This window comes from Homo sapiens, chromosome 3 (genome assembly GCF_000001405.40).
Source record: "Homo sapiens chromosome 3, GRCh38.p14 Primary Assembly".
Taxonomy (NCBI): domain Eukaryota; kingdom Metazoa; phylum Chordata; class Mammalia; order Primates; family Hominidae; genus Homo; species Homo sapiens.
Genome location: NC_000003.12, coordinates 107,580,297 through 107,592,854, shown reverse-complemented (window position 1 = coordinate 107,592,854; position 12,558 = coordinate 107,580,297). Strand labels below are relative to the sequence as shown.

General features: G+C 34.0%; 1 protein-coding gene across 11 annotated transcripts in view; it reads right to left on the bottom strand.

The window, feature by feature from the left end:
- BBX (BBX high mobility group box domain containing) overlaps positions 1-12,558 on the bottom strand; it is a 288,378-nt gene that overhangs the window by 218,485 nt on the left and 57,335 nt on the right. The window lies entirely within an intron of this gene.

The following is a 12,558-nucleotide window of genomic DNA, read 5'->3' as shown; positions in this document are numbered from 1 at the left end:
AAGATAAGCTGTACAACTTAACAGAAATTGTTGGCCCTTAAGACATGTGTGGAGGTGGGAGGCTCAGGATCAAGGATCACCTATTATAATATTCCTGAAACTCCCCAAATTCAATTACTATTTGATGAATCTAAACATACTTATTTGAAAAATTTGAAAAAGTTACCTCGGCATTCCTAAAAATTGCACATGCCCCTTTTATCAATAAAACATGAGCTCATACATACTGGTAAACACAGCAATATCAATAAATAAACACATTTTAAATTTAAACTTTAGGTTCTATGCAAAGATCTATTTTTAAATGTTTCACATTTCCCTAAAATTTCCTTGTATTACTGGACTCCAATAGACGTTTAAGATTGAGCATTCTGTTCAATACTAAGGCTGCTATTATATTAAAAATCAGTTTTATAAGATTTTTTTAAAATCAGTAATCTCACAAAGAACATACAGTCATCTTAATACACCTTTTTTTTTTTTTTTTTTTTTTTGAGACAGGGTCTCGCTCTATCACCTAGACTGGAGTGCACTGGTGCAATCTCGGCTCACTGCAACCTTCACACCCCAGGCTCAAGTGTCAATCCTCCCGCCTGAGTAGCTGGAACCACACGTGCGCACCACTAAACCCAGCTGTTTAATACACCATTTTTAACCCAAAACATTAAGAAAAATATAGGAACAGTAAGTAGATTACATTTTGTAAACAGACAAGCTTACAAGTTTTCTCAAATATGAAAGTCATACTAAACTGGGAGACTGTTAACTTCTTGATGGGGTTAATCTCTAATATGAAGCCACAGTCATAGCTAACTACAAATTACATATACAATGCCAAAAATATTCAAAAATAACATTTTTTGCACCTTAATGATTACAAATGCTAACCAGCATAAAGACACTGGAAAGTTTCAGAATCTCCTCACCACATACTTTCAAATATCTTCCCTTTACTTCCATGAAATTGTACTAAGAACATTTCAATCACCTATAATACTCTGCCTCAATAAAATATTTCAGTGTGGGGTTTGGACCTTTCTTTTAAAAGTGTTTAGTAGATGTAACATTTACTGGCCGGGCAGCTCATGTCCTGTAATACCAGCACTTGGGAGGCCAAGGTGGGAGGACTGCTTAAGCCCAGGAGTTCAAGACCCGCCTAGGCAACAAAGCAAGACTTCATCTGTACAAAAAATACAAAAATTAGCCAGGCGTACTGGCGCATGCCTGTGGTCCCAGCTACTCGGGAGTATGAGGCAGGAGGATCAGTTGAGGCAGGCAGGTTGAGGCTGCAGTGAGCCCTGATAGCGTTACCGCACTCCAGTGTGGGTCACAGAGTGAGAAGTGTCTCAAAAAAATAAAATAACACAACATAAAATATCTCCCCCTTTCCTTTCTAACCCCTTTTAGCAGTTTACTGACTGTTTATAGATCTTAAACCAAGTCTTTATAAGCTTCTTTTAATGGACTTACACTCCTCCCCTGAATTCTCCAACCATGCTTTTGACCCATTTTACTCTTAGGTAAGTTTTGTAACTTTCTTCACTGTCCTATGAAAAATGAAGAATGTTAAGGAGCTTATTGGAAAACTTATCTAAGTTTGCTTTTTTCTTCAGATGGGCATTACAGTTAAAAAAAAAATCCTTAAAAAGGTCTTCTTTAGAACTGAAAGCACCAATAAGAGATATGAACCTTGAAAAGGAATGATGTGTTTCTCTGCTTAATCTATTATACTATACTTAAGACTGGGGGGAAAAAAATCTATCCAGAATGGCATTAACCTTTAGAAAATTGGCCAAATCACAAGGGTGGGTAATGCCTGGAAGCTGGAGGTATTTCAAGTTGTGTTAGGGAAGCAAGGTCATGAAAGGTCAGTAACTAAGTTTCCGGCAATACTGCAGCAGGCAAACTGACTTCCACTGGGACCACATGCAACTTGTGCTGCCACTGTTGAGTGGAACCCCAACTCCATACTCCAAACCAGCTTAATTCCTACTATCTGTCCCCAACCCAAGTGCTGGGCACAGCCCACTGCTATAGCTGTTGAAAATGGAGTAAATATCAAGTAAATAAGCTCCAAGATGTAAGAGAGAGGAACAAGCAGCCCAACTCACTGAAATAAAAGGGCCCCATCAATGTAGGTAGGAGGTGCTCTGATGGTACTCAAACTTTAAAGTAATTTAAAGAAATAAGAGAGGGATGGGTAAAATAAGAGAAGTGGAGACTCAGAAAACGAATGTAAGATAGATGTGTATAGTTCTCACTCATACATGGGAGCTAAACAAGGATCTTATGGAGGTAGAGAGTAGAACAGTAGATACCAGAGACTGAGAAGGATCGGCAGGTTGATTAACGGGTACAAAAATACATTTTAGAAGGAATAATTTCTAGGGTTCGAAAGCACAATAGGGTGACTATACTTATCAACAGTTTACTGTGTATTTCAAAATACATAGATTTGCAATGTTCTTTACACACAAAAATGATACATGTTTGAGGTGATATCCCAACTACGCTGATCTGATCATTACACACTGTATGGATGTATCAAAATATCACAAATATCCCATATATGTACAGTCACTACATATCAATAAAAAAATAGATGCCTATATACATAAATACATATAAATTTCTGCTTAACCATGTTAATAAATGCACACAGGTAATTATTTTATAAAATCTTTATACTAAAAGCTGGTACAACCCTACTGACAAAGGTCCCACGAAATGATTATTTATAAAAATATTTTCAGAGATGTTTATAAAAGTTCACTTTAAGGGAAATAGTTCATATTTGAAACTGTAAAAGTATGTTACACATGTGATGTCACATATTCTTGGGGTAAAAAAAAATGAAAGACTTAAGACCTATAAAAAAAATGAAAGTACCATATTAGACCCCAAAATGATAGAAAGCAATAAAATAAAAGCATAAAGAACTAATCAGAATTCATAGAGCATGAAACCTCTAGCCAACTGTGAAAATCACACTTTAAAACAAATTTTGTTTTGCTAGATCTTGCTCTTTCTCTAAATACATCTGTGTGACTTTTCTGTGATTAAGAAGGCCAAAATACTCAAAACAGGCATGGAGAAATTCTGACTTATTTCTGTGCTTGAGTAATAGTCAGGTTTAACTGCCTTCTTTGGTATCTTCCCAGAGACAATGAAGAGTCTGATTCCACTTCTGAAACTGAAAAAGAACTCTGTGGCACTGCTCAAAAACCAAGTCAAGACTTGGGCTTTCATGCTTCCTTTGGTGGAACTTCTTCAAACAGTGCCAACTACAATCATGTGATCACTTAAACCGGTGCTGCTAAGTTGAAAGCAGTGGTCATTTCTCTGCTGTATTTTTATTTTCAAGTAACCATCTGGAGGACCAAATAACTTGATCAATAGGGTAATCTGGAAGCAAGGGGAAGACTACTGGACTAGAAGGCAGAAAACAGAAAAAGAGTTCAGAATTAGGATTAAACTGCTTTGACTTCAACTGTCTACCAATCATTTTCTTCTACTAGCTTTGTTTTCTCAGTTCTTTTATAAACTTTCGGAGGTAAAGAACCAAATACACTTATTTATTGACCTTCCTAAGAACTCAAGATGATGGTCAAATAGTAGATGTTCAAAAGATACTTACTCACTAAGTGTAAATAACAAGCTCAAGTAATACAATGAAATAGTTCCTTAATTTTTCCTCCACTAAAGTCAAGTTCACGTTAAAATATGGGAGAACAGCATAAAATGATACCCAAAGATTCTAATGTGGTGTGTAAAAAAGGTCAAATGGAAGGTTCATGGGGCAGGTTAAATGACAGAAATCTAAGTAGGTGTAACATATCCCCCTTAATTTTGACAACACAGATGGTCTTTGGAGACATCATTTATGGTATTTCTTACCTAACTTGGGAGATTTAATTTCTTATATTCATGGGTGTTGATTAGTAGACTAAATACGTAATTTTAAAATTAAAATAAATAAATATTGCCTGTAATCACATCACTATTGATATTTTTTATTCCCAGTCTTTTTCCTTTATAACCCTGGCAAATAAAGAGGCATACTGCCTTTAAAACATGTTATATGTTCAATTTTTACCCCATTCTTTTTTATTCACTTATTTCAGTTTTAGGAAAAATAGCATAAGCATTTCCCCATGTTACTAAAAACATCAATGAACAGAATCTTAATGGCCAAAGTGTATATTTTTAAACTGGAAATGGGAAATTCAGGCACACAGGAGTTAAGCAGCTTAAACAAAGTCACCCAGTTTATAGGTGGCAAACTGGGATCTGAATCTTAACATATGTGATTCCAGAATTCATGCTAGCAACCAAATTGCTTCTGTGAGTGCAATGTGTGCCACACCCCTCTCATCCTTCCACCTGCATCTCATTCCAACACGTTAGCTCCTGGCTTGTCTCCAGCATGAAATGGTTACTCAATCCAGGCTGGCTTCCTTACTGATCCTCCTACACACATCACTCCATTATTCCTCACCCCCTGCTCCAGGCCCCCCCTTACTTTGTGATCATGTTGTTCACACAGCCCTCAAAGTGTCTGTCAGTCACTTCTTCCTTTCTCTACCTCCTCAAGGCCTAACCATCATCTAAGACCTGGCTCATACACCTCCCCTCCATAAAGCCTTAGCTGACCAAGCAGAACCTTCAGTCATTCAAATCATTTAATAATTACTCTTTTAACACATACTATGTATCAGATACTGCTCTAGTCACCAGGATAGAAAAGAGAATAATAAAACAAAAAAGACTTCTACCCTAATAAGAAGAACAGAAAACAAACAGGTAAAAAAATACAAAGATAATTCTGGTCAGTGATACGTATTGTTAAAAATCGTGACTCTTGTACTAGTTTTTGGCTGGCTTTCTGCCAACTTGCTGTAAAACTGTGAATTACTAAAGGTAGGGATTCCATGTTATGTCTAAAGCTTGGCACATAATAGGTACTTCAGTGATGAGTAAATGAATGCATGTATAAATGAGAGGATGGATGGATGAATGAATAAATGGGTGGATTGTAGATAAACCATTTCATCTGTATGTTTTACCTCCCTCAACCAGACTGTTAACTCCTAAAAGAGCCTCGAGCCTGCAAATCTGTGTTGGTCTAGCGTACCCAGTGAAGGTGAAAATGAATTCGAATGATTTCAGTTGGGGCCCGCATCTCCTGTTAAGTCACGATCCCGACTATTTGCTGTGGTATTACTCAAGGCCCCACTCACATATTCATGCTTCCTGCCTGGCTCCTCTAAGCATCTCCCCCAGACAGGATCTGCTTTAGGACAGAAACCCAAAATTTAATAACTAACAGTAGCCAGCAAATGGAAAAACTTTGTAACATATTCCCAACTAATTCTTTAGGAATTGTGAGAACAGCAATTTCTAGGGTAGATTATTTAAAATTACAAGAAGATCCAAATCATTCCAATATGTAACTAAATTCTCAAAAGCTTACCAAAAGTAATTTCACTCCTTTTTTTTTTTTTTTTTTGGAGACAGGGTCTCTCAGTCAACCAGGCTAGAGTGCTGTGGTATGATCTGGGCTCACTGCAACCTCTGCCTCCCAGGTTCAAGTGATTCTTCTGCCTCAGCTACCAAAGTAGCTGCAAAGTAGCTGGGATTGCTGGCATGAACCACCACAACAGCTAATTTTTTTGTATGTTTAGTAGAGATGTTCTTTTAAAATATTAGCTTAATTTTTAAAAAACATTCATAAGAAATGGTAGAATATATTTTTAAATGAAGCAAAATAAGATGGCAAAACTCTCAAAAGTGTGGAATCGGCCAGGCGCAGTGAGTGGCTCATGCCTGTAATCCCAGCACTTTGGAAGGCCGAGAGAGATGGATCACCTGAGGTCAGGAGTTCGAGATCAGGCTGGCCAGCACAGTGAAACCCCATTTCTACTAAAAATACAAAAATTAGCTGGACATGGTGGCATGCGTCTGTAGTCCCAGCTACTCCAGAGGCTGAGGCAGGAGAATCGCTTGAACCTCGGAGGCGGAGGTTGCAGTGAGCTGAGATCGCACCATTGCACTCTAGCCTGGGCAAAAAGAGCGAAACTCCATCTCAAAAAAAAAAAAAGTGTGGAATCACTTCCTTACAACATCACAATAATTACAGACCATTATCAAGGACACTATTTCTCAAACTTGCTTAGCCTTGGTAACGAAAATAAATCCACAGACAACTCTGTGAACCAGCCTAAGGAAAACAGTCTTAACAGTTAAGCATTCATTTTAGGTATATTTCATGGCCTCATAAACACAAATGCAAACTTTATGATGAGAATCCAATAGGAATGCTCAGTTATAATCAAATTAGGCAACCAAGAAGACATTATTTCTTTTATATTTATCATCTAAATGAAACATTAAAATTGTTTAATTCACATTAAAAACTAGGTGACCCCTGATATGTCCATTACTTGACTCAAGTTTCAGAAATCCAGATCTAAAAAAAACAATTACGAATATCTCTCAAGAAATGAATATATAGTTGTAGTACCAGAATACGTATGTACAACAAACTGCATACAAGTTCATTCTTGATTAATATTCAAAAGTCTTAAATTTCTTAATTTTAAATTTCTCTGCACTCAGCCACAGTTCTCTGGTATACAAGTTAGTTAATAATATATAAATAACCTCTTTAGAATATCAGATTACTGTTAAGAGAATGATGTGGGTGAATTATCTTAGCCAAATAATCACCGTCTATTTTTTTTATTAACTTCAGATTTTGCATTGGGTTTTCTTAAAATGAGAATACTAAACATTAAATGAAAATATTTAACAATACAGTTATATGAAAGAACATCAGAAAACATATTTAAAACTCAATTTTGTATCGTTCTTTCACAAAAATATCCAAAAATTATAATGTGACCCTAACCAAGAGTAATAGCCAAGTGAAAACTGAAGTTTGTGAAACCTCTTAGTTAATGGGTCACTGACCTTTTTTCTGAAATAAATATAACCAAATAGCTTGTTTTCTTACATCCGCCTACTGTGTTTTTAATAACATAATTAAAATAAGTTCACTTTTTAGTTTAATTTTTACTTTAGTTCTCCAGAGAGTCATATATATCACAAGTTTCCTATTCTAGGACTATTTCTCTTATTTTTTCAAGTGGTTATGCCAATACAGCATCATTAGAAATTATAAATTTTGATAAAACATTTTCCAAAAAAGATAAACAAAGAACCACAGATAAAGAAATAGGATAGTATTTTTGGTATATTGAGTTAGGTAAGAGCCCCATAATGGCAGCGGGGAGGGGAGCTTCTTAGGAGCATTGGAATTATAGAAAATTGAACAATTTAAAGACTTTTTAATTGTTCTTGCTTTCATATATAGTACAGACCATTCAAGAAGCTAAGCCTTCATTAGCTTCCAAAGTTATTTTTTTCTACTTGGGTATGAAGATACGTCTCATTTATTTTAGCATAAATAACCAGACTACTGTCAATTTCACCCCCACCATCCTCTCTCTCTTCTCCGTTTCCAGGTAAAACTTTAAAAATATGTGTCAATGGTAACTATCACCTTTTTCTTCCTTCTCTCTCCTCAACCCACTGTTAGATGGCTCTGACCCTTCTCCATTCCTCCAGAACACCTCTCCACATCATCGCAATGGCCTACACATTGCTAAATGCAGTGGTGGGTTACCTCCTCACCTTATTGTTTCCTCCACGTGGATTACTGACTGGACATTCTCCTGGTTTCCCCTCCTGCTTCCATGGCCAGTTCTCAGCCCCAGTATGGTTCATGCCACTGAACTGGATCTCCAAGCTTTGTTCTTATATACTCACCTGCATTTTTGTCTCTCAAAGGCCAGTAATTATTAAGATTTCAACTGAGGCCGGGGGTGGTGGCTCACACCTGTAATCACTTTGGGAGGACGAGGTGGGCAGATCATCTGAGGTCAGGAGTTCGAGACCAGCCCAGCCAACATAGTGAAACCCTGTCTCTATTAAAACCACTGGGTGTGGTTGCGCATGCCTGTAATCCCAGCTACTCCAGAGGCTGAAGCAGGAGAACTGCTTGAACCCGGAAGGCGGAGGTTGCAATGAGCTGAGATCGTGCCACTGCACTCCAGCCTGGGCAACAAGAGTGAGACTCCACCTCAAAAAAAAAAAAAAAAAAAAAAAAAAAAAAAAAAAAGATTTCAACGGAAAAATCACTTTTTAAAGAAGCCTTCCCCACCCCATAAAGTTTTGATCAATTCTGCACCCATCATCCAATCCTCTTGATATTCCATTGTTCTGTGTTAAGCATTTATGACAATCTGAATTAAAATAATGACATTATTAATTATTTGGTAATAATTACCATCATTACAGTGTAACGTTAGGGGCTATCATCCCCGGTGCCCACCATATAGTTTTCCAGACATGAAGATTTGAATGGACAAATTTCACAAACTAAATTGACAACTACTATTTTTAATTCTAAAATGTGTGCAAAACTAAAGAAAAAATAGTATTGTTTCAATTTGATTCAGGTGTTAAAAACAAACCAACTGCAAAGTTAGTTGAACTAAGTTCAGAAGAACTAATAAATTAGAGATATTATATATAAAGTATAATTTATACTTTATACTTTATACATATTATATATAATATATATAATAATATATATATCATATATTATATATAATATATATAATAATATATATATCATATATTATATATAATATATATAATAATATATATATTATATATAATATATAATATATATAATATATGATATATATAATATATATAATATATGATATATATAATATATATAATATATATAATTAATATATATAATAATATGTATAATATATATAATAATATAATAATATATAATAATATAATAATATATATAATATATATAATATAATAATATATATAATATATATATTATATATAAAGTATAATTTATACTTTATACTTTATATATAATATATATAAAGTATAATTTATCTTGAAGATTAAAATAACAAAATAATCCTATAAAAAATAGTTCCAGAAATTAAAACTGAGGACTATTTTGCAGAATCATTAATCTGCTCAGGCTCATCAGAAACCAGGCTATAATGAAGAAAGCCATAAACACAGTGGAATAAACATTTCTTAAGCCTGAAGTTGGTTAATGAGTACAAAAATAGGTAGAGGAATACTTTCTAATACTGGATAATACATCAGAGAAATTATAGTTAATAATTTATTGTATACTTCAAAATGGTTAGAGGAGAAGAAAAGATAAATGTTCAAGGTGATAAATATTCCAATTATCCCGATTTGATCATTACATACTATATACATGTATCAAAATATCACATACAACTCCAAAGTATGTACAACTATGATATATCAATAAAAAATGAGATGCAAAAAAAACTACTCAGTCACTCAGTTTGTTCCTAAAATGATAAATAAGGTATCGATTACTCCAAAATCTTTTATCTTGTGCCACTGGTAATAAACAGGCAAATCATTCATGTTCTGTTTCCTCACTTATAATATAAGCAGTTGAGCAGCTGATCTGCAAGTTCCTTTCCAATCCTTTTGAAAGTTAAAGAGTTTAATCAGAAAGCTCACTATAAGACTCTTAACTACTCAAAATACAAAACAGTATAAGCCTTAAAAAAACACTGAAGGTCCTCTGTATAGCCAAAACTTGTTTTTACTGATATCCGACAAGTCCCATATACTTAAAGCAGTTCTTTAAACTTCATATGTTGATTTTTATTTTGATTATAGTTGCAATACTTCATAGTTGCTTTATTATCTAGTAGCAAATTATGTAATGAGGCTAACAGCCTTGCGTCTAATGACATGAAAAAGAGAATATAAAAAAGTATTAAAACACAGGTCATTCTCCAAGGAACAGCATTGTAGAACTTTTATAGCAAAGCAAAGAGCACAATACACTGCACAGCACATACCTACACCTTTCTATTAGTCCTAACAACAACAAAGATGATTTTGAGTTATCAAAAAAAGTAAAATTATGTTTGTTAAATTCTATTTAGCAAAGCAGAAAAACAGATCATTATTGAAAAGTTTAAATCTAACCGTTACATTAAAAAATTTTAAAACTAAATGTTCTGGAACTTAAACTCATAAGCATACTAACTTACCACTACATTATATTCCCATCAATACAACATTAACACAGGAAGTACTACTTTTCTTATATGCCAACAGATTTAAGGTAGGATAATATTAGTATGACAATAAGGAAAGAACTGTTCTCCACTTATGATTAAAAACGAACAAGCAAACTATAAAAACAGGGAGAACGTACCCTCCTTTGTTGAAATTTGTCCCTGGGAACTGTCTTAAAATTAGTATCAATAGTTTGGCTTTGGGTGGCTATTGGTTTTCAAAGATGACAACTGACAGACTAGGACGATCCTTCAACCATAAAGATATAACTTCCATCTTTTTGTCAAAAAATCAGTTATTAAAAAATATTAGTTTTGTAAATATTGTATGGATACTGAGATAAAACTCCAATGAGACTTAAAACAAAAATGTGTTTAAAAAAAAAAAGCTTCCACATATGCCATATGCGTGCTAAAAATGTTTAAGGTAAAAACTGCAGAAATTTTTCCAAATATTTTCAAAAAATATAATATTATTTTGCTTAATATTTGCTACCTATAGAAAGTACTTTAACAATACCTCTACTAGGTAAATGTGATTTTTTTTTAAAAAGAAGGTTTGGCGAAAATTTGATGAAAATTGGATGCCCTAGCAAGCTAAGAAGAAATAACTGCTTCTGCCTAAAGTTTTGGGGGAAAACATTAAAAATAAAACGTTAAAGAATCTTTCTAAAAAATACCTTGGCTCATATATATACACATTATATACTAAAGTAAATATTTTACAAATATGCCACTACAGATGTAATAATACTGTGTACAAATTGATAAAGGTAATCTAGATTCTAATTTTAAAAAAAGCATTCTAATGGTAATGATAATAACATAATTCTTTTCTAAAAATATCAGCCAACTATTCCCTAGAGGACATAGTACATGATAAAGAATGAGATTTAACAAATTCTATAAATTCTGCCCTGCTGTTGATAAATAAATTCTTCATGTGTAACTCAAATTCTTAAGTTCCTGGTTGCAAAGTAAAAGAAACAGCCAATTCAAGGACACTAACGACGGAGTATGAAGCAGTGTATAAAAACTGAATAAATCAGCTGATGCCCACAGCACAGAAGACCAGTTACCAAACCACTAATTATAATTTGGCATATACTTATATTATCAAAGCTAGTTTTTAAAAATCTATGCTTAATTCCACAATTTTTAGCTATCTAGTATATGCAAAGTACTGCTAAGCCCCTAGAAGAAAATATAGTCTCTTCACTTCAAACCTGGTAGGAACATGACACAAATGAAAGATCACAGAAGGGGAATTTCCAAGTTTAAGAATCATAAAAGAGACTGGCCTGCATAACCAAAAGAGATTCAAAGGAGATGGGAAAAGGCCATTTCCTTCCTAGGACACAGGGAAAACGTCTTAAATTTCTCTTTTATCCACCCTACACTGCCAACAAGTGTGTAATAATAATATATATATAAGTGTATAATAATGAATGTAACTATTTTACAGATGTTTAGTAAGTAAAAATATGATCAAAGACATTTTAAGGCAAAATCATCAGCTTGGATATGAAAAATTAAAAGCTTGGTTTAAATTTGCTCCTAGTTAAATACAAGATTGTCTTTAAGCAAAACTCATTCAAGAATTCATTTATGAATAACAATTTAAAGATTACACTCAGACCAGATATTAGGTAGATTTTAGGTCTTCCATATTTTAACATTTGTTTGCATAGTTACAGAAGACTGACTAAAATCATGAAGTTTATTATCTCTTATTAAAAATATTGACTGTGCTGGGTGTGACGGCTCACGCCTACAATGCCAGCACTTTAGGAGGCCGAGGCGGGCGGATCACCTGAGGTCAGGAGTTTGAGACCAGCCTGGCCAACATGGTGAAACCTCATCTCTACTAAAAATACAAAATTAGCCAGGCATGGTGGTGCATGCCTGTAATCCCAGCTACTGGGGAGGCTAAGGCAAGAGAATCACTTGAACCCAGGAGGCGGAGGTTGCAGTGAGCCAAGATCGTGCCACTGCACTCCAGCTTGGGCAAAAAAGAGCAAAACTCTGTCTCAATTAAAAAAAAAAATTGAGTGCTTAACAGTTTTAAAATCATAGGATGTTTTCCCCTGATAACTTACCTACATATGAGTCATATATTTTGGTAAATATTTAAATATTAAGATTAAACTAAAATTTACTATAATTACATCAAAAGACAATGTTCTTTACTAATAGAAATTTTGTTTTGGAATCTTCAGTAAAATAAAACAAATTGTTAGTATATATTATCACATGAATGTGCTTGTATAATAATACTGAATAACAATGTTGGAGGATAGTGAAAATAATTTTTAAAAATCACAACAAAAAAAACCTGTGGATTTAAAATTCATATTCTGTCCAAAAGCTCACACAAGAGAAA